The 21,124-nt window shown below is 63.7% G+C and overlaps 2 protein-coding genes and 1 long non-coding RNA gene across 3 annotated transcripts, besides 3 other annotated features; 2 read left to right on the top strand and 1 right to left on the bottom strand.

Moving 5' to 3' along the window:
• On the top strand, positions 253-10,426 carry CCDC154 (coiled-coil domain containing 154). The gene is made up of 17 exons (NM_001143980.3): positions 253-493; positions 797-1,013; positions 1,114-1,303; positions 1,508-1,548; positions 1,834-1,929; positions 2,280-2,403; positions 5,683-5,784; positions 5,866-5,994; positions 6,072-6,190; positions 6,633-6,759; positions 6,855-6,992; positions 7,998-8,117; positions 8,288-8,364; positions 8,723-8,840; positions 9,634-9,720; positions 9,957-10,141; positions 10,275-10,426. The coding sequence occupies exons 1-17, from the start codon at positions 487-489 to the stop codon at positions 10,399-10,401; spliced, it is 2,004 nt and encodes a 667-aa protein (NP_001137452.1). The 5' UTR covers positions 253-486; the 3' UTR covers positions 10,402-10,426.
• Positions 10,368-13,731, bottom strand: PERCC1 (proline and glutamate rich with coiled coil 1). The gene is made up of 2 exons (NM_001365310.2): positions 13,701-13,731; positions 10,368-12,262 (listed from the first exon to the last, which is right to left on the bottom strand). The coding sequence occupies exon 2, from the start codon at positions 12,213-12,215 to the stop codon at positions 11,412-11,414; it is 804 nt and encodes a 267-aa protein (NP_001352239.1). The 5' UTR covers positions 12,216-12,262; positions 13,701-13,731; the 3' UTR covers positions 10,368-11,411.
• Positions 13,818-14,935: an enhancer, noted in NCBI's record as "ICR fragment uses in the reporter transgene". NCBI's record gives its function as "activates a minimal Hsp68 promoter in the stomach, pancreas and duodenum of E11.5-E14.5 transgenic mice" and the evidence as "EXISTENCE:transgenic organism evidence [ECO:0001131][PMID:31217582]".
• Positions 15,888-15,937: a silencer, noted in NCBI's record as "silent region_6985". NCBI's record gives its function as "represses an Ori minimal core promoter by ATAC-STARR-seq in GM12878 lymphoblastoid cells {active_cell/tissue: GM12878}" and the evidence as "EXISTENCE:reporter gene assay evidence [ECO:0000049][PMID:35858748]".
• Positions 15,968-16,127: a silencer, noted in NCBI's record as "silent region_6984". NCBI's record gives its function as "represses an Ori minimal core promoter by ATAC-STARR-seq in GM12878 lymphoblastoid cells {active_cell/tissue: GM12878}" and the evidence as "EXISTENCE:reporter gene assay evidence [ECO:0000049][PMID:35858748]".
• Positions 16,050-19,258, top strand: LOC105371044 (uncharacterized). Its single transcript, XR_932996.3, has 2 exons — positions 16,050-16,397; positions 16,528-19,258. It is a non-coding gene; the product is annotated as an uncharacterized LOC105371044 (long non-coding RNA).
• The last annotated feature ends 1,866 nt before the right edge of the window (positions 19,259-21,124 follow it).

Below are 21,124 nucleotides of genomic sequence, written 5' to 3'. Positions count from 1 at the left end.
GTCCGGGGTGTCCTGGGGCTCTCGGCCTCCCTGCTCCCAGCGTCCCTCCCGGCGTGCCCAGGCCTCGTCAGGGCCTCCTTCCCCTCCCTCGGCAGCTGAAGAAGTCCCCTTTGCCAGAGGACACGTGTCTGCGCCCTCTCGGGAGTGGGGCCCCTCAGATCCATCCAGAAGCAGGCAGTTGGGGGGCCCTGCGGGAGTGGGAGAGCTGAGGGCTAGAGTTCCATTGGCAGTTGGGCTGTGAAGCCGTGAGGTTCTGGGGAGAGAAGGAAGGTTCTGGAACGGCCCCGCTGCCCCACACCTGCCTCCCTGGGGACCCTGAGAAGGCAGCCAGACGAGGGCAGCAGCTCGTCCCTCAAGGCCCAGAGCTCTCACGGGACTTCCTCTGGCTCCTGACCCCCCTGGCCTGTGCCCAGCTCTGGGCAACCTCAGAGGCCCCAAGGCCCAAGCTACAGCCGAGGGCAGGGTGGCCGGTGCAGCCCAGCAGCCATGTCAGGTGACCAGAGCGGAGGAGCGGGGCCCAGGGAGGGGCTTGCCACAGGTGTGAGGGTGGGGACCGCTCTGCTTCTGACCCCGGGCTCCCTCCAGCTCGCTTGTTCCTGCCGCCCAGTGCTGTGTGTCTTCAGGCAGGGCCCTGGACTTGTCTGAGCCAAGCCCGTCTGGATCCTGTGTGACCCAAGGAGACGCGTTGAGCTCTGGGTGGTGGGCGAGGGTCCTGCGGGGGTTTGGGGCCTTGTTCCCGTAAGCTCCAGTGGGGGCCGGGCCCCAAGGGGCAAGCTCCCAAGATGCCTCCTTGTAGAGTTGGCTGACAGTGGACCCTCAGGGGCATCGGCCCCTTCCCAGCTGAGAGCCGTCACCCTGGAAGACCTGGGGCTCCTCCTGGCAGGAGGCCTGGCCAGCCCCGAGCCCTTGAGCCTGGAGGAGCTCTCGGAGAGGTATGAGTCCAGCCATCCGACATCCACGGCCTCTGTCCCCGAGCAGGACACCGCCAAGCACTGGAACCAGCTGGAGCAGTGGTGAGCCCTGCAGGGGGTGCTGGCGGGGGAGGACCACGTCGCCGCCGCCTCCGCCTCCACGGCGGGCACCGCCAGACTCGCCCACTCTCGCCCCGGCCAGGGTGGTGGAGCTGCAGGCCGAGGTGGCCTGCCTGCGGGAGCACAAGCAGCGCTGTGAGCGCGCCACGCGGAGCCTGCTGCGGGAGCTGCTCCAGGTGCGGGCCCGCGTGCAGCTGCAGGGCTCAGAGCTGAGGCAGTTGCAGCAGGAGGCGCGGCCGGCAGCCCAGGCCCCCGAAAAGGAGGCGCCGGAGGTGAGCGGCTCCCCCACCCACAGGTCGAGCTGCCCCTTTCCTGGGTGTTGGGGGCAGCTGCTTCTGGGCCTGGAGCCCAGCTCACCCCTGCTGCCCAGGCCCAGAGCTCCCAGGGGCCAGTGGTGCCGGAGCTGGGTGGACTCCAGGGGCAGGTGCCAGACCCGGGCCTAGGTCCAGCCCACAGCCTCCTCTTCCTCCTCGCAGTTCTCTGGTCTCCAGAACCAGATGCAGGCCCTGGACAAAAGGTACCCCCCACACACCTAGGGGCACAGGCCCAGGGCGGGGAGGTGGTGGCGAGAAAGCAGCGGCAGGTGTGGTGGGGGGTCCACATCTCCCGCTGGGTGTCGCTGGAGTGGGGGATACACATCCAGGTCCAGCTAGAAAAGGCCGGGTTTGTACGTGCCTGGGCGGCCTTCAGAGGCCCAGGAAAGCCATGGGAGGTGGCCACAGGGGCCCCTTGGCCAGACCCCCAGCCCGCCGAGGCTGCTCAGCCCGCCTGGGCCTCTCGGGAATGGCTTGTTGTGTCCCAGGCTGGTGGAGGTCCGGGAAGCCTTGACCCGGCTCAGGAGGAGGCAGGTGCAACAGGAGGCGGAGAGAAGGGGCGCCGAGCAAGAGGCCGGCCTCAGGTGGGCGCCCACCGCCCGTGGCTGGCTCCGGAGCTTGCGTGGGGTCATTTGAGAGTCCCTGGCTGAGCCAAGACACGGGTCCCCCTGCCGTGTGTCCCCAGTAACCCGGCGGGGCACCGCCCTCGGTGCCAAGCGTGCTGGGAAGCCTGGGCCCGCTGCGGACCCTCTGTGGGGAAGAGACTCGCAGCAGCCCTTCCCTGCCACCGGTGCTGTGTTTCCCATTCCTCTGTTTTCTGGTGGGGCAGGGGGCGGGGGTCGTACACCTCCTGCCTGGCCAGCCTGTGGGTCAGCCTCACCCTGCTGGGCCCTCCGGCCAGCTGGGCTGGTGTGACCACAGCCGACTTCTCTAGACTGGCCAAGCTGACCGACTTGCTGCAGCAGGAGGAGCAGGGCCGGGAGGTGGCCTGCGGCGCCCTGCAGAAGAACCAAGAGGACAGCAGCCGGAGGGTGGACCTGGAGGTGGCCAGAATGCAGGTACCACCAGGCCCAGGCTTCAGGGGGGCCGCCCAGAGGGCCGAGGAGGAGACCCTAACCCTCTCGGCCTGTGCCATCCGATACAGCGGCCGTTCACCATGTATCTGTGTCCACTGAAATCAGCTATAGTTGTAGACAATGTAAAACTCAATTCCTCAGCCGCACATGCCCCATTTCAAAAGTTCAGGTTGTTTGGGCACGGTGGCTCACGCCTGTAATCCCAGCACTTTGGGAGGCTGAGGCGGGCAGATCACAAGGTCAGGAGTTCAAGACCAGCCTGGCCAACATGGTGAAACCCCATCTCTACTAAAAATACAAAAAACTAGCCAGGTGTGGTGGCGGGCACCTGTAGCCTCAGCTACTGAGGAGGCTGAGGCAGGAGGATTGCTTGAATCCAGCAGGAGGAGGTCACAGTGAGCTGAGATCGCGCCACTCCAGCCTGGTGACAGAGTGAGACTCCATTTCAAAAAACAAAACAAAACAAAAAAACAAAAGCTCAGGCCACGTGCAGTGGCACACGCCTGTAAATCCCAGCACTTTTGGGAGGCCGAGGCGGGAGGATCGCTTGAGCCTGGGAAGTCAAGACCAGCCTGGGCAACACAGCGAGACCTCATCTCAAAAAAAAGCTCAGTTGCCACGTGGGGCCGGCAGCTGCAGATCTGGGCGCTCTTCGTCCCAGGAAGCTGCCTGTGTCCTGCCGCCTCCACCCCTCCCCACACAGCCAGCGCCTGCCCGGGTCCACAGATCGCAGCCCCGAAGCCCCTTCCACGGCCACTCTCGGGCTCCACCTTTCCCTGCACACAAAGCGGAGTTCACCTTCCTCGAGGACACGAGTTCCTAGAAGCCAGGGTCCCACCCACGGGGCTGGAGTGGCTCCCCCTCCTGCTGTGGCCTCAGCAGGGGCCTCCGCTGTGGGTGGGGAGGGAACGGGCAGCTGCACATTTCAGCAGCCCGGGTCTGAGCTCCACAAATAGAGACCGGGGACTGCAGCCAGCTCCCGTGCGCATCAGGCAGTACGCTGGGTGAGGGGCCAGGACTGCCGGGGCACCCAGCTGCCACCCACATAGCTCCACTGCCCGGAGCCGGCAGCCTCCCTCTCACTGCCCTTCAGGAAGTTACTGAGTGGCCGTGTGGAGCAGGCAGGGGTGCTGGGCTGAGGATTCCCAAGGTGCCAGGTGTGGGGGAGCTGCCGCTCATGAGGGCGTCTGCCTTTCCCTGAGTCCGGGTGTCTGAGTGCTCTCTAGGGCCAGAGGCAGCAAAGCCAGGCCGACACTCGTTTTTTGTTTTGAGACAGGGTATTGCCTGGTTGTTCAGGCTGGAGCGTGGTGGTGCCATCACAGCTCACTGCAGCCTCAACCCCCCAGGCTCAAGTGATCCTCTTGCCTTAGCCTTCCCAGTAGCTGTGACTGCGGGCGCATGCCACCATGCCTGGCTAATTTTTTTTTTTTTTTTTTTAAGACGGAGTCTCCCTCTGTTGCCTGGGCTGGAGTGCAGTGGCACGATCTCGGCTCACTACAAGCTCCGCCTCCCACGTTCACACCATTCTCCTGCCTCAGCTTCCCGAGTAGCTGGGACTACAGGCGCCCACCACCACGCCCGGCTAATTTTTTTGTATTTTTAGTAGAGATGGGGTTTCACTGTGTTAGCTAGGATGGTCTCGATCTCCTGACCTCGTGATCTGCCCATCTCGGCCTCCCAAAGTGCTGGGATTACAGGCGTGAGCCACTGCGCCCAGCCCGCCTGGCTAATTTTTTGATGTTTTGTAGAGACGGGGTCTCACTGTGTTGCCCAGGCCAGTCTCAAACTCCTGGGCTCAAGTGATCCTCCTGCCTCAGCCTCCCAAAAAGTTTTCTTTTCTTTTCTCTTTTCCTTTCTTTTCTTTTTTCTCTTCTCTTCTCTTCTCTTCTCTTTTCTGTTCTCTTCTCTTCTCTTCTCTTCCCTTCTCTTTTCTTTTCTGAGATGGAGTCTCGCTCTGTTGCCCAGGCTGGAGTGCAGTGGCGTGATCTCAGCTTACTACAAGCCCCACCTCCCGGGTTCACACCATTCTCCTACCTCAGCCTCCCAAGGAGCTGGGACTACAGGCACGCATCACCATGCCCAGCTAAATTTTTTGTATTTTTAGCAGAGACAGGATTTCACCGTGTTAGCCAGGATAGTCTTGATCTCCTGACCTCATGATCCGCCCACCTCGGCCTCCCAAAGTGTTGGGATTTCAGGCGTGAGCCACCTCGCCCGGCCATTTTTTTTTTTTTTTTTTTTTCTGACAGTCTCGCTCTGTCGCCCAGGCTGGAGTTACAGTGGCATGATCTCAGCTCACTGCAACCTCCATCTCCTGGGTTCAAGCGATTCTCCTGCCTCAGCCTCCAGAGTAGCTGGGATTACAGACAGCTGTCCATGTCTGGCTACTTTCTGTAGTTTTAGTAGAGACAGGGTTTCACCATGTTGGCCAGGCTGGTCTTGAACCTCTGACCTCAGGTGATCCACCAGCCTCGGCCTCCCAAAGTGGGAGTGAGTCATTGCGCCAGTCACTGCTTGTTTTTGTAAATAAAGTTTTATTGGCACACAGGAACATTTTTTACATGTTGTCAATGTCTACTGTGGGGGCTGTAACCGCCATGCTGAGAGGGTTACAACAGAGATCCCATGAGGTGGGAACATGTACCATCTGGCTTTTTACAGAAAAATATCTACTCTAAGGTGACCTCCTGGGGGGCAGGAGGCCAGCAGGGGCTTGGGTGGAGGGGAAGTTTCCCGGGAGGCGCCTCTCCGTGGCTGATGAAGGGCCTGTGCCGCCTGCCTACCCTTTGCGTGTATGAGATGCAGGGATGGGGCCGGCTGCGCCTCCCCCCTCCCCTCCCCTTCAGGGCGGCAGGAAAGCAGCTGTTGGTGTGGAGACAAGGCCCCAAGGCTCTGCCCAGCCCACCTGGCTCCCCGTGCATGGGGACACCTGCACGACACTCCTGCTTCCCTGCCGGGCCTGGTGGCGGCTGGGGGGCCTTCCCTGGGCAGCCTCGGTGGTGGGTGCCAAGTGTGTCTGGACCCCACCTGAGCGTGGCCTTCTCATGCTTCACAAACCCATGCCTGGTTGGTCGTCTGGGTACAGAGTGGTCCTGCCCGCCGTGGCTTTCTTCCGGCTGAGGGTGTGGCAGGCCCAGCTCAGCCGGGCTCAGGGCTTGGGGACAGCAGGGGACTCCAACTCTGATGGAGACCATGGGCAGGAGGGGGACCGGCTGCGTGTCCAGCAGAGGCTGCACACGGGACAATGTGCCTCCGCCCCAGGCCCAGGTGACCAAGCTCGGCGAAGAGGTGAGCCTGCGCTTCCTGAAGAGGGAGGCCAAGCTGTGCGGCTTCCTGCAGAAGAGCTTCCTGGCCCTGGAGAAGGTGGGAGCCTGCCCGCGGCTGGCCTGCCCTGCCCCCCTTCCCAGACGCAGACCTGCAGCTGACAGTGGGGTCTCCCCACAGAGAATGAAGGCCTCGGAGAGCTCACGGCTGAAGCTGGAGGGCAGCCTGCGGGGCGAGCTGGAGAGCCGGTGGGAGAAGCTTCGGGGGCTGATGGAGGAGCGCCTGCGGGCCCTGCAGGGGCAGCATGAGGTGGGGCCGGGCGGGCGGCGGGCAGGTGGGGCCGGGGCCGGGGTGCAGGTCTCAGGGCGGCCTCCACCCCCTGGCAGGAGAGCCACCTCCTGGAGCAGTGCCAGGGCCTGGATGCTGCCGTGGCCCAGCTGACCAAGTTTGTGCAGCAGAACCAGGCGTCGCTGAACCGTGTCCTACTGGCCGAGGAGAAAGCCTGGTGGGTGTCCTGGGGCCTCAGGTGCTGTCAGGCGGGGGGACCCCTGATGTCCCACTCAGGAGGGGGCCGCAGTGGCCGACTCAGCAGGGAATGACCTTGCCTCCCCCGAGCAGAGTGCTCGACCCCGAGGGCTGCAGCTGGATGGTGCGAACCCTCCTCCCTCCTGTGGGGCCTCCTGTCCCTCACCCAGCCTGCCCTCCCTGGGGCACTCAGCTGTGGCCATGGGGAGGGAACCCCTGTCTTGGTGGCCGTGGGGAGTGAACGCCCATCTTGGTGGCCATGGGGAGTGAACCCGTGTTGGTGGCACTGTGACCGCACCCCATCTTCCGATCCCAGGGTCTCCTGGGAGGTTCTGGAGCCAGCAGCCAAGCTCCCCTCCCTGGCCCAGGGCTGAGAGGTGGGCAGGCTCCACTGAGGGTGTCTATGTGTCCCCAACCCCTAGGGACGCCAAGGGGCGCTTGGAGGAAAGCCGGGCTGGGGAGCTGGCCGCCTATGTGCAGGAGAACCTGGAGGCCGCACAGCTGGCTGGCGAGCTGGCCCGGCAGGAGATGCATGGAGAGCTGGTGCTGGTGAGGGGGTAGCGCAACATGTCCCCAACGGGGTCTCCCACGCACACGGGATGGGCGCTCAGCCAGGCCTCCCCGTGCCCACCTGTCCCCTGCAGCTCCGAGAGAAGAGCCGGGCTCTGGAGGCATCCGTGGCGCAGCTGGCCGGGCAGTTAAAGGAGCTGAGTGGCCATCTCCCGGCTCTGAGCAGCCGGCTCGATCTGCAGGAGCAGATGCTGGGCCTCAGGCTGTCCGAGGTGCGCCAGGCAGCGGGCGGGGGCAGGCGGGGCTATGGGGAGTCCCCACCCCTCCAGCTCTCAGCCCACCACTGCCCCCAGGGTAGAGGCCTGACAGGCCGGTCCCAAGCCTCCCGTCCCACCCAGCGACTGTCCCCAGGGCCTGGGAGACCCCGAGCCCCAGAGACTCCTGTGTGGGGCAGGACAGCCGCTGAGCAGCCTCGGCCCAGCATCTGCAGCCCGTGAGGCCCGAGCTGGAGCCTCGGCCCACGGCCCGGCCATGCGGGCAGCTCACGGCGGGGCAGACAAGCGGCCTCCACCCCTCGTGCTCTTGTTCACTGTGTAACAGCTCTGTTGAGATGGATTCACTCCCCACACGGTTCACCCGTGAACGTGCACAGTTCCGTGTGTCTATTCACAGTTTCAGAGCATTCATCCTTCAGGAAGAACCTCAGCCCCATCCGCACTCATTCCCATCCCCACTTCCCCTGGCGACCGCTGGGCCCCTCCCTGTCTCGGGGGCTGCCTGTTCTGGACGTTTCCAGGAAACAGAGCCACGCACGGTGCGGCCGCTGTGGCGGTGACACCCACGGGCATCCCGTTTCCCGCTCCTCGGGGCCTCGTGCGCAGAGCTTCACCCCTTCCACCGCGGCGTAACGTGCATTGCGTAGGCGCCGCCCCCCGGTTCCCGCTCATCCACCGACACGCGAGCGCGGCTGCAAACGTGGGCGACACCCTGCGTTTCGGGGCTGGGTCCCACCGGGGCCTGCCCTGCCTCCCTCGGGCACCTGTGTGGTCGGAACAGCCCCCACGGGCCCTCGGCTGCCCAGGCCCTGCCTTGGCATGTGTGTCTCCAGAGCGTGCCCGGCCAGGCCATCCCAGCCGCCTGCAGGCCTGTGCACAAATGTCTCAGAGCTGGAAGTGGGGGTGGGGGCCGCCTGCTCCCCAGAGCTCCCCGTGTCCGTCTTTCCATCTGTCTGTCCCCCCTCTCTTGGCTTTGTCCCTCACTGGGCATCTGTACCCCAGGCAAAGACCGAATGGGAAGGTGCAGAGAGGAAGTCCCTGGAGGACCTGGCCAGGTGGCGGAAGGAGGTGACCGAACACCTGCGAGGGGTGCGGGAGAAGGTGGATGGCCTCCCCCAGCAGGTGGGCGAAGGCACAGCCAGCCTTGGTGTACTTGGGCCTTGGAGGTGGCGTGGGACCCTTCTCCCTGCACCTTGTCCTCTCCCCTCCTCCCTCTCCCTGTGTGGGTCGAGGCCAAGGCTGGTCCTAGATGGCGCCCTGGGGCTGCCCGCCGCTCCCGGCTCTGTGTTCAGATAGAGAGTGTCTCCGACAAGTGCCTGCTTCATAAGAGCGACTCAGACCTCAGGATTTCCGCCGAAGGCAAGGCCAGGTACAGCCTCCAGGCCCTGGGAGAGGGGCAGGGGCTCTGCTGACCGTTACTGGGCTGGGCCGGTCCCCACGCTACTCTCCACAATCCCCTGGTATCGTGACAGACCTGTTCCCCCTGAGCCCGGGCCTGGCCCAGCACCGGGCTCACCCTGCCACCCTGGTGCAGCCTCTGAGGCGCCTCCAGCCCCTCCCTCTACCCCCCGTTGGGGACCCCCACCTTCCCCACTGGAGGGGTGACAGGGCTGAGCCCCCTCGAGCCTCCTTAACCCTGTGGTGGCTGTGGGAGTGGCCTTTGTCCCCGGTCCTGGCCCTACCCCCGAGCACACCCGACAGCCAGCCTCGGCCTCTGGTGCCCATAGGGAGTTCAAGGTTGGGGCCCTGCGGCAGGAGCTGGCCACGCTACTATCATCCGTGCAGCTGCTAAAGGAAGACAACCCTGGGCGGAAGATCGCGGAGATGCAGGGCAAGCTGGCCACGGTAGTCCTGGGGCTGCCCGCACCCAGCTGGGAGAGAGGGGGAGCCATCAGGTTCAGACGGGGCAGCCGTGCGGAGAGGCAGGACCCCCAGCCTACGGGGCATTTTCCAGCCAGCAGGAGACGCTCAGAAAACCACCTGTCGGAGGCCAGGCGGGGTGGCTTACACCCATAATTCCAGCACTTTGGGAGGCCGAGGCGGGTGGATCACCTGAGGTCAGGAGTTTGAGACCCGCCTGACCAACATGGAGAAACCCTGTCTCTACTAAAAATACAAAAATTAGCCAGGCATGGTGGCGCATGCCTGTAGTCCCAGTTACTCGGGAGGCTGAGGCAGGAGAATCACTCGAACCTGGAAGGTGGAGGTTGCGGTGAGCCAAGATCGCGCCATTGCATTCTAACCTGGGCAACAAGAGTGAAACTCCATCTCAAACAAAACAAAACAAAACAAAAACAAAAACAAAAACAGCTGTCCCTGGGCCACCCCAGCTTGTCTCAGCCTCTGGCAGTTCTAAGTGGAGGCACCTGCCTGGAGCCCCCACACCGGGGTGCCGTCCGCAGCCACGAGGGCCGGAACAACCCTGAGCCCTGGCCAGGTCCCCGCAGGGCCACTCTCAGGCTGCCGCTTCCTCAGCGGAGCTTGTCCTGGGCCCTGCAGTGGGGACGAGGACCAGCATTTCAGCAGGTGGCCCCTGCCCAAGCTGTAAGCACTCAACAGTGGATATCGGGGTGCCTGTGGGGACAGCAGGATGCCAGCAGACTGGCCCTGTCTGTGCCCAAATGGGGGCCATGTTTAGTTTCAGAACCAAATAATGAAGCTGGAAAACTGCGTCCAGGCCAACAAGACCATCCAGAACCTCAGGTTCAACACTGAGGCCCGGCTGGTGAGGAGGCCTTGCCCGGCCGGCACCGCCCAGCTCCCACCCGCTCCCTCAGCCCTGCCGCCTCCCCGCCTGCCCTGCTGCAGGCGCCAGTGTCTGTCTGTCCAAGTGTCTGGCCATGGGCAGGGTTTCCCTGAAGATAAATGGCTTCCAGGCTCCCGGTGGGAGATAAGCCCCCGTTTGCCATCCCCTGCCCGGAGGTCTGGCTCCTGGGTGACACCAGCATCCCCGTCCCACAGCGCACGCAGGAGATGGCCACCCTGTGGGAGAGTGTGCTCCGGCTGTGGAGTGAGGAGGGCCCGCGGACGCCGCTGGGCAGCTGGAAGGCGCTCCCATCCCTGGTGAGGCCGCGGGTCTTCATCAAGGACATGGCGCCTGGCAAGGTGGTGCCCATGAACTGCTGGGGCGTGTACCAGGCTGTGAGGTGGGCAGCAGGGATCCCGGCGCGGCCTCCTGGGCCTTTGGGCCGGGGTTCAGGGCTGGGGGCCCACAGGCAGCAGGTGGGCCATGGGGGGTGGGGCGGGGGTGCAGGGGCCATGTGCCGCATCTCTGGACAGGTGGCTGCGCTGGAAGGCGTCCCTCATAAAGCTCAGGGCCCTGCGGAGGCCAGGAGGGGTCCTGGAGAAGCCCCACAGCCAGGAGCAGGTGCAGCAGCTCACACCCTCACTGTTTATCCAGAAATAAACGTGCTGGCTTTGTACTCATTAGAGCTGAGGTTCCCTGATGTGTGCTGGGAGACAGCCTACCCAGGGCCTGTGGGGCTGAGCGGGGTGGCGAGGTCCCTGGCAGCGGGGGTGCCCAAGCTTGGAGGGACCCAGTCTCTTGACCCCCATGACTCTTCCTGTCCTGCCCAAACCCAGCCCGGCTTCAGGCTGTTGCTTTCCATGGCACTTTAGCAGCCTCTCTCCTTCCCTGCCAGGCCCCCTAGGGCTGCCAGAGCCCCCCGGGGTGGAAGGGGCTTGGCTAGGGCCTGCGCAGAAGCACCTAGGCCTGCCCCCGCCAGGACCCGCTGTGAGCTGCCCCTGCCCGGGTTGTGAGGAGGACCCGGGGAAGCCCCCTGGACTCGGGCTCCCTGGCTCTGCCTCAGAGCCCCTCCAGCCCAGCAGCCCTGCAGTGGAAGAGCCTTCCGGCATCTGGGGAGGAGACGGCCCTTGTTTGCTCTCTCGGTCGGGCAGTGGGCCCCTCTTCCTGCCTCTCCAAGAAAGCCCTCGCTCATCCCGCGGTCGCCGGCCCTGCCGTCTGCTGCCGGGGGCTCAGGGGAGGGGCCACAGGTTCCGGGCCGCTTAGTCCTAGGGGTTCGGTGGGATGGGCAGGCAGTGGGAGGGCTGGCTCGGGGGGCTCTGTCCTCCACCGCCCCTTGCTGCTCACCTGGAATCTCTGGGGCTGGGCCCTCAGCCTCACCTGGGGGCCCTGGTGGGTGGAGCCCCTTGAGCTCAAGCCTCCCTTTTCTGTGGGCAGGGCTCTGGGGGCCCCTGTGCCCCTCCAGGGGCTCTGCTGGGGCTGAAGGCCAGGGCATGGCCAGGTCTGGGCACCACCCTTGCTGCTCCCACTGCAGCCCAGCCCTGGTGACCTCTGGGTTTGCCCTGTGGTGGCCGCGAGGGACGGAGGAGGCTCTTCCCAGGAGGATGGGAGGAGAGTCCAGTGCCTTAGGGGTGGCCCTGCTGCCGCCAGCTAGCTCTGACCCCGGCGCTTCGCTAGGCCTCGGCTGGCCGTGCCCCTTCCAGGGCTGGGGTTCCCCTGCCGGGCAGCTCAGGACAGGCCTCGGTTGACCAGCTGGCCAGCAGGTCGCTGAAGTCCGGCGTGCCAGGGTGCAGCAGGCCCAGGGGGCTAGGGGTCGGCTCCTTCCAGAAGGATGGGGGCAGCTTCCTCTGGGCCATGGGGGTGATGTGGCCGTACTTCCGCTCCAGCGTCAGGCTCCAGCCGGCCGCTGCCCTGGACCCCCAGTACTGCTGCAGCCCGTAGTCGAAGAGCTCGGCCAGGGGTCCCAGGGGCTGCGCCCTGTCCCCGCTGAGGCCCGGCCTGCACACCTGCCCTTGGGGTACCCTGGGCTCCGGGGTGTCCTCGTCCTCCAGGGACCCGCCACGGGCCAGGCGCACCAGGTCCGCATAGTAGAGCTCCCGGGCAGTGCTGCGGGGTGGGCGGCTGTCGGCGTAGACGTCGCAGGCATCTGGGTCCTGCCCCTTATCCTTGCGGCCAAAGTACCGCCGGATGTCGTCGCTGATGAGCTCTGAAAAGCGTAGCAGCTGCAGCGGGGTCTCGGGGCTGCCGGGACCCTCGGGGGCTGCTTCCTCCGTGGCCTCTGCCCGGCCTGAGCTCGGGAGGATCCGGCCGCAGCCCCCCAGCCCCTCGCCCTCGCCCTCCTCCTCCTCCTCCTCCTCCTCCTCCTCCTCTTCCTCCTCCGAAGTCTCTGGGGGCTCCGGATCTGAGGGCAGGAAGGGGTGGTGGCGCAGCAGGGGCAGCTGGAAGTCGCACAGGGGCCGGATCACACCGGCGGCCATCTCCGCGCGTCCCACGCTTCTGGGGCCTCCGGGGCAGCAGGCGCTGGCTGGGGAGGGAGACAGAGGGGCAGGTTCCCTGTCAGGCCTGGCCATGCCCCCGCCGCCCTCGACTGCTGCCCTCGGATCTCACACATCTGTGGCCTCCCGCAGAGACCTTCCTCCGCTCCTGGGTGCCCAGTTGTGCTTGTCGAGGGCACGGATTGCCACAGGAGTGAGGCATGGAGAGAGATGGGGTGGGCACTGTGGCCGCATGGCCGTGGCATGAGGGGGATGGCCGGCCAGGGGGTGCTGTGAGACCTGCTGGACGGCTGGCCCAGGATGGTGACTGGGTGGGAGCAGTGGGGTCCTGTCGTGGGGGGCAGTTGGGGACATGGGGACATTGTGGGGACACTAGAATTGTGGTCACTTGGGAGGGGAGGACGCTGGGCAGGAGAGGGCAGGCCCTGGGGAAGGGACCTCGAGAAGCCAGGCAGGGGAACAGGGATCCCTGCAGGCCAGGGCAGGGGTGCTGGCGCTGCTGAGCCGGAGCTGGGTCCCGGGCTGGGGCTGCTGTGGGTCAGAACCAGGGGCTCCATGGCTCTTGATCAAAGTGGAGGCGTCACTGTAACTGAGCCCAGAGCCCGTGCAGCCCCCGTGGGGTTCTTCCGGCCATCACAGTCCCAAGGGAGCGGGAGGCAGCACCCCAGTGGTCCTAACTAGGAAGTCTCCACGATGGTGAAGGCGGCTGGGGTGGGAGGTCCCTGCAGGGGTGGGCTCCAGGGGCCACTGCACCTGGCCAGGACGACTCAAGTGAGGTATCTGGGTCAGGGGCCTGGCAGGAGGGTATCTGGATGGGGACTGTGGGGTGGGTGCAGCTCTCCTCTGGGCCAGCTGCCAGGTAGTGCCCACCACACAGACAAGGGCTGCCCAGCCCCTCCTCGAGGGGACACGTGGGTGCCCCTGGGGTCAGGTAGCCTGAACCCATCTTGTCCGGAGCCTGTGGCAGGAGGGCGGAGGGAGGGAGGAGGGCTTTGGGGATGGGGGAGGGCTTCAGGGAGGGAGGGGTGTTGCGGGGAGTAGGAAGGGCTGTGGGGAGCGGGCAGGACTGTGGGGAGCATCCACGGCTCTGGGACAGGCTTTCCTCGGGGTCAGGATGTTTCCCCGCTGGCTGTCGGGGAGGTGAACTGCGAGGCCTCCCGACCCTGGCCTGCCCAGCTGTGGTCCTGATCTCACTGAAGTACTGGGGTCCCCCTCGCAGGAGGCATCCAGTGTCCTGAGCGCTGGACTTTGGGGCTGACTGCTCACGGACAGCCCAGATGCAGGTGCCCTCCCATGGCGGCCTGTCTGCCCCAATGCCGGCCCAGTCCTGGGCCTGCCCAGTGGTCTGGGGGTCTCTCCCAGGGGTGGGTGCTCCCCACAGAGCCCTGGGCAGGACTCACAGACTCCAGATCCCCAGTGCTGTGGTGTCCCCAGCAGCGTCTGCCTCCCCCAGGCCCTGGCTCCTACCTGGCCGGGGCCGACAGCTCTTGCTCCACAGGCAGACCTTCACCCGGACACAAGCATTTATAGCCGCGCTCTGCAGCCGCCAGGGGCTGGCAAATATTTGGCGACAGCATTGTCATCGCAGACTGGGCAAATAGAGCCCGTTTGCTTTAGCGCCCGGCAACCAGGGCCCCGAGGGGGGAGCACGCCCCCCGCCTCACCTGCACGCGGCCTGCCTGGGGACCGTGGAGTGTTTGTGCAGGCGCAGCTGGCTCGCCCCCGGGCCCCGGGACCCTTATCTCTGCTGTGGACTGGGGCCCGGACCCAGCCTTGTCAAATAAGCGGAAAATTAAATTTCATGCTATTTTGAGTTCTGGAGTAGGCCTCTCTAGAGGACATCCTGCCTCTGCAGCCAGCGGGGTGAACAGCACTCCCGGCCGCAGGAGGACCCTGGGGAAGGGGGAGGGGAAGGAAGCGAGGTCCCAGGGACCCCCAGCCAGGGCCCGGTGTGTGGGCTGCAGGTGGGGCTCCTGGAGCACCTGCCCAGCTCCCTCGGCCATCGGGACCTCCCGGACAGCCATGACCATCTCCACTGGCCCAGTGGTTACCAGGACGCCTGCTGGGCTGCTGCCGCCCACCTGCCCAGAGCTCAGAGGTGTTTGCAATTGATCCTTAATGGCGGAACCCCCTTCTTCCCCAGGCTTCTTCCCAGGGGCCTTCCTTCCTCAGCTGCAGCCACCCCTGGGGTGGGAAATGGGGGGCTGGGAACCCTCCCTTCACCTACTGCTCCCAGGAAAGCCTCCCCCAGAAGCGTCCCCAAGGGCTTCTGCCGCTCCCACCGACTCCCTGGCTCTTCCTGGGTGGCCCCAGCTGGTCCACTGTGGGGGCCATGTTAGCTTCCTTGGACTGCTGTGACAATGACCACAACTCAGGCAGCCTGGAACACAGGTCAGGAGGCCAGAGGTCCTGGTCCAGGGCCTCCAGGAGTGGCTCCTTGCCTCGTGGTTGCGTCTCCCCAGTCTCTGCCTCTGTCCTCACGGGGTCTTCCCTGTGTGTGTCCTCTGCCCTCCTAGGGGGACCCCGTCCCTGAATTTAGGGCCAACGCCCACCCAGTGTGCCCTCAGCTTCACCAGTTACACTTGCAGGGTGCCCGTTTCCAAATGAGGTCCCATTCGGAGACTCAAGGTAGACACGCATTGTGGGGACATGGCTCAGGTCGCACAGGCGCCACCCGCATGTGACTGTCCCTGACCTTGGCATTCGCCAGGTGTGCCCCCGCTTGGCACTGTACTCCCCAGAGCAGCCCCAAGTGGCCCAGGTTGGGAGGACTCCACAGTGTCCTTCCCAGGGACTCTGGCTCTGAGGACGGGACAGCAGCCCCCAGCCTGGCCTGGCCCCAGCACCCCCTGTCCCGAGCCCCCAGCTCCTGGGCCTTCACCTTCCAGGGGCCAGGAGGGTTCTGGATGCTACCCCCCACCCCGGTCCTCACCCCTACGCTCCAGGCGTCCCCCAGTCAGATGGGAGACCAGCTCCTCTCACCCAGTGACATCCAACACACAGAGATTTGGACACAGGCCCAGCCCTTGTCTGCACCTGGGGACCTCTGGCCCCGCCTTGATTTCTTGGGCACCCGGAGGGCAGGAGATCCCAGGGGGCCTCAGGCAGTCAATGCAATCACCCAGTGTCCGGGGCTGCAGTCAGGACCCCCAGCTTCCAGGGAAGGGACAGGAAACGAAAAGTTCAAACTTAAGAGTAAGATTCTGCAGAGGGCAGGCCGGCGGCCTCCACATGGGTCTCATGGTGAGGGGTGGGGTCACCTGCAGGTCCCAGGAAAGGCTGCTGGGAGTGGGGACAGGGACAGCATCGGCACAGCCACCAGTTACGGCTTCTCCTTACTGCTCCTTCACAGGCAGAAGCCGAGCCGACGCCCCGGTGAGCTCACAGCCCAGGTGACCCCATAGCCCAGTGAGCCCACAGCCCAGCGACCCCACAGCCAGGTGACCCCATAGCCCAGTGACCCACAGCCAGGTGACCCCATAGCCCAGGGAGCCCACAGCCCAGGGAGCCCATGCCCCAGGTGAGGTGCATCTGGCCGTATTCAGCCCTGAGTGTCCAAACCATGTAGGGGCCTCTGTCCCTGGCTTCATGGGGGCCGCCCTGAGACTCCAGGGTCTGAGGATGCTTGGCCAGGCCCTGGCTGTGGGGGGCTTTGCCAGCCTCACCAGCTCCCCTCTGATCCAGCTGTGGCTGAGGACCTGCGGCTGCCTGGGGTTCAGGGCCCTAGGCCCCCATCTCTGACCAGATACAGCCCCTGGCCCTCCCGACCCGGGGAGCTTCCGGCCGGGGGCCCTGGGTGCGCCCGCCCTCGTGGCTCAGAACCCCGGGGCCGGACCTGCAGAGGGTGGGGGTTCTGCCGCTCCTGGCAGTGGCTGCGGCGCCCTCTGCCGCATGCTGTGGAATGGCCGGGGCCTGCGGAGGGAAGGGCGGGAGCCAACCCGGCCTGGGGTCTGGGCACTGCAGGCCTCCATCTTGCGGGTCTCAGCAGGGATGGGGTCAGCCGGGGCCCCGAGGGAACTCCAGTGGAGGACCCAGAAGGGCCTCTGGGCCCCTGTGTTCTGTCCTGAAAGGCGCGGGCGGCAGGAAATGGCCAGCCCAGGCTTCGGGCGCAGGTGGACCTCAGCTCGGCCTCGTCGGTGCTGGTCACTGTCCTGGACGCCAAGGGTGAGGAAATGAGACCCAGCCCCTCGTGAAGGAGGCGTGTGCGGGGGCTCGGCGGGCATTGCCCTCGGGAAGCGGAAGGGGTTCCCGCGGAGCGGACAGCCTGGAAACACCGGCCCTGTGATGGCCCCAGGACGTCCGCGCCCGAACCCCCAGCACCGACACAGCTGAGGGACGGCGGGCGTGGCTAAGCGAAGGACCTGGAGACAGGCGGTCACCTGGTGGATCCTTGTTGGAGGGAGGCAGGAGGCTGAGAGGATGGAAGAGGCCACGCTGCTGGCTTTGGAGCTGGAGGCAGCGGCCAGGAGCCGGGACGCGGGAGCCTCTGGATGCTGGAGGGGGGTGAGCCGTGGCTGCCTGAACCTCGGCGCTTCCCCCGCCCCTGGAGAGAAAGCCTCAGAGGGGTGACCTGCTTCCCCAGCAAGGCCGCACGCTTCTCCCGCCCCAGGGCCCTGGGTTTTCCCGCTGTCCTCTGACTCGGGTGCTGGGGGCCTGCCTGTGACCCCGCCCGTGACCCCACCTGTCCCGGAGCTGTCTGGATGCTCGTCTCTGCCTGACAGGAGACCACAGAGAAAACCCTAGTCTGGAATGGAAAATTCTAGAGTGGGCGCAAACCGGAGCAGACAGGCATTTGGGAGGAGGTGCTGGGGCAGAGCAGTGTGGGACTGTCATGGACACCCGGGGAGCTGGCCTGAGGCTCAGGGGTGACAGTGCCACTGCACCGGTCCAAGCAGGCAGCGAAGGGGAACCCAGGGGTGGCCGGAGGGGCGAGGGTGGGATATGGGGACCCCCTGGGGGACGGGTGGATGAATTAGCTCCTCGCTAATTAGCCCCCTACCCCTGAGTTCTGAGACTCAGGAGGCCTTCAGGAGGAGGTGACTGCGGTTTCTGGTGAGGCTGGGTGGGGCAGCAGCCTCTGGGGCATCTGGGATGGTGGAGAAATGCACGTCCCACACCACTGCCTGCCTGTGTCCTGCCTGGGGTGGGGGGGGCGGCCGGGGCCAGGCCGAGGAGCACAGGAGGCCCCGGCAGTGGGGCTGGGCCCGGGCGTCTTCCAGCATCTGCGGCCAGCGCGCCTCTCGTCGGGGGGCAGCATCGGGCCCAACCGAGCTCCCGGCCCACAGCCCCGCCGGCTCCCACCCTTGCTGTGGGGCCTCAGGCCTGGGAGGAAGGCGCTGCCCTTCCGAGTGCAGCATGCCTGCTGTGCCCACGGACCCCAGATTGATCTTCCTGGAGAAAATCAATAGCTCCAATATGCCAGCTCTCAAGAGGCTCTGCGGCTAGTCACCCGCCATTAGGCACACGAGGGCTGCAGCCTCCGCCGCCCATTAGCGGGACATTAGGCCTCCCACGAAATTTCTCTGTGTGCTTTGAGATAATGAAGGCCGAGGTGTTGGTTTACGTCCCTGGGGGAGGGGGAGGATGACAGCAGCTTTCTGGGCAGGGCCAGTGCCAGCTCCACATGGACTCACCAAGGAGAGCAGGGCCCCGGGGACACAGGCGCCCCGGCACATCCGGCTGTGGCTTTTCCCACCCGGGGTCAAGCAGACACACAGCATTCGGGGGGCGGGAGGGAGTCAACGCCCACCAGTCAATGGCCACTGGGGGCAGATGGGCACCACGGGAGCCGGCGGTGCGCTCACGCCTGGAGTCCCAGCTCCTCCAAAGTGTTACATTAGATTTAGTCGTTAGAAGAGATAGTAGATTTAGTCGTTAGTAGAAGTGTCGTTAGATTTAGGGCCCACCCTGGTCCAGAAGGGCCTCGTCTTAACTAATGACATTGGCAAAGACCCTGTTTCCAGACAAGGTCAAGTTCTTGTGTTCTGAGGGGACGTGAATTTGGGGCACTGCTGAACCCGGGGTGGCGTCTTCCAGTCCTCACAGTGGGCTGAGTGGGACGGGGGATGCCCATTTCACACTCTTCCCAGGTGTCTCATTTCTGTTTGAGACTGAGATTAACTTGGTGGCCTGGCCCCTCAGAGGCTGGCCCGCCCCCCGAGTGAAGCCTCAGCCCCTGCCTGTACCTTCCAGCTCTGCCCCTGACTCTGCTGTCCTGGGGCAGCTTGTGCGCAACTGCCCAAAACCACAACAACCAGGAAGGTGCACCAGCCCAACCCAAAGGCTCCATGGCTAACCAGAGGGCCCTTCGATTTCCACCTCCTTCAGGAAGCCCCCCTGGGCTGCACACCAGGATGAGGCTGACCAGTCCTCCCCAACCACACTTTGAGCCCCCTCCTCCCACAACAGTGGGTGCTCCCAGGTCCCTACAGGGGGACTGGTTTGGCAGTGATTCCAGGTGGGGTTCTGGGGTAGAACAGGTGGGGCAGGGCCCGTTGAGGAGGACCTGGGCAAACAGGTGCCTCTGTTGACACAGCAGCCCCAAACACAGTCTGGGGCCAGGCCGCCCAGGTGTTGCTGAGCTCAGGACACCTCCAGCCCCCCTTCCTGGCCTTGATGCCAAGAGTTCCTGGGGGAACAGAACTGGTCCCAGATCTGGCGCTTCTTCTGCTGGGAAGCACGTGCAGGAGCCGGTGCTCCAGAGGCGAGCAGATTCTGGCTCAGGGGAAGGGGCTTGTCCAGGGCCATCCGGCCACACACAGTGCAGCAGATGGGCCGAGGTCCCCGCCACCACCCGGGCGACAGGAGGGGTGACCTGCACCGGAAGTCAGGAGCAGGCCTTCTAGCTCCAGGGCCATCCTGAGAGGAAAGAAGCACTTCACCTTTCCCCATTCATTGGAGGCACGTCCAGGCTTCCAACTAACCTCTCTACGGGAATGAATGTGAATTCCTCTCAAACTCTGGGCATAAGAAATGACACGTTTTTGTTACATAGACATATTGCAAAAATAAAAAATAAAAAGATGTATTGGGTGTGGTGGCTCATGCCTGTAATCCCAGCACTTTGGGAAGCTGAGGCAGGCAGGTCACTTGAGGTCAGGAGTTCGAGACCAGCCTGGCCAACATGGTGAAACTATGTCTCTACTAAAAATAAAAAAATTAGCCGGGCATGGTGGTGGGTGCCAGCAATCCCAGCTACTCGGGAGGCTGAGGTGGGAGAATCACTTGAACCCGGGAAGCAGAGGTTGCAGTGAGTTGAGATTGCACCACTGCACTCCAGCCTGGGTGACAAGAGCGAGACTCCATTGCAAAAAAGATAAATAAAATAAATTTTTAAAAGATGGAAACACACACACACACAGAAATGACATGTTTTCTTTTTTTTTTTTTTTTTTTCCTGAGACAGTGTCTTGCTCTGTCGCTTAGGCTGGAGTGCAGTGGTGCGATCTTGGCTCACTGCAACCTCCACCTCCCGTGTTCAAGCAGTTCTCCCACCTCAGCCTCCCTAGTAGCTGGGACTACAGGCATGCGCCACCACGCCTGGCGAATGTTTGTATTTTCAGTAGAGACGGGGTTTCACCATGTTGGCCAGGCTGGTCTTGAACTCCTGACCTCAGGTGATCTGCCCACCTTGGCCTCCCAAAGTGCTGTGATTACAGGTGTGAACCACCATGCCTGGCCTTATTTTCTAAATTTAAAAAAAAAAAAAATTAGGCCTGGCACAGTGACTCACGCCTGTAATCCCAGCACTTTGGGAGGCCAAGGCGGGAGGATCACGAGGTCAGGAGGTCGAGACCAGCCTGGCCACTATGGTGAAACCCTGTCTCTGCTAAAAATACAAAAATTAGCTGGGCATGGTGGTGGGTGCCTGTAATCCCAGCTACTTGGGAGGCTGAGGCAGGAAGAATCACTTGAACCCAGGAGGCAGAGCTTGCAGTGAGCCCAGATTGCGCCACTGCACTCCAGCCTGGGCAACAGAGCAAGACTCCATCTCAAAAAAAAAAAAAATTACCCAGGCATGACGGCACCCACCTGTAGTCCCAGCTACTTGAGAGGCTGAGGTGGGAGGATGGTGGGAGCCCAGGAGGTCGAGGCTGCAGTGAGCTATGACGGCGCCTCTGCACTCCAGCCTGGTCTTTTGAACAAGACTTTGTCTCAAACAAAAAACGGGGGGGTCCCGTTGCTTTGGGGTGCTCCTTGTCAAGCCTTCATGGTGAGGGGTTAATGCAGCCGCCGGAAGGTTTCGTCCCGCCTGCTGCACAGACAAAATCAATTCACTGAGACCACAGCATTGCAGTAAAGAAAGACTTTAATTGACTTGAGGCAGGCCCCGCCACTCAGGAGACGAGTCATTACACACATCAGTCTCCCCAAAGGCGCCAAGGTTCGGGCTTTTCAGGCACTGGTGAGGCTGCTCTGTCTATGGAGTAGCCATTCTTTTTTTTTTTTTTTTTTGAGATGGAGTTGCCCAGGCTGGAGTTTAATGGTGCGATCTAGGCTCACTGCAACCTCCGCCTCCCAGGTTCAAGTGATTCTCCTGCCTCAGCCTCCGGAGTAGCTGGGATTACAGGCGCGCACCACCATGCCCTGGAGTAGCCATTCTTTTACTCCTTTACTTGCCTAATAAACTTGCTTTCACTTTACTCTATGGACTTGACGTGACTTCTTTCTTGCGTGAGATCCAAGAACCCTCTCTTGGGGTCTGGATCAGGACCCCTTTCCTGTAACATATTTCTGGGGAACCACAGAAGAGACTGTCGTGTGGAAGCCCCCTTCCCAAAGGCTAACTTTGGGAAAGTGTTGGGGTCCTGTAACATCTTTCTGGTGAACCCTGAAGGGACAATACTCAGGGGACCCCAGACCCAAAGGAAATAGAAGACTCTGCAGCCCTG

This window comes from Homo sapiens, chromosome 16, assembly GCF_000001405.40.
Source record: "Homo sapiens chromosome 16, GRCh38.p14 Primary Assembly".
In the NCBI taxonomy this organism is placed as follows: domain Eukaryota; kingdom Metazoa; phylum Chordata; class Mammalia; order Primates; family Hominidae; genus Homo; species Homo sapiens.
The sequence above is the reverse complement of the archived record's forward strand: the minus strand, read 5'-3'. Positions and strand labels throughout refer to the sequence as shown.

Coding starts and splice junctions, on each gene's coding strand:
- CCDC154 (NM_001143980.3), top strand. Junction 6,993..7,997: donor TGGGCCTCAGGCTGTCCGAG/GTGCGCCAGGCA, acceptor TCTGTACCCCAG/GCAAAGACCGAATGGGAAGG. Junction 9,721..9,956: donor TCAACACTGAGGCCCGGCTG/GTGAGGAGGCCT, acceptor CCCGTCCCACAG/CGCACGCAGGAGATGGCCAC.
- PERCC1 (NM_001365310.2), bottom strand. CDS start 12,215: ATGGCCGCCGGTGTGATCCGGCCCCTGTGCGACTTCCAGCTGCCCCTG.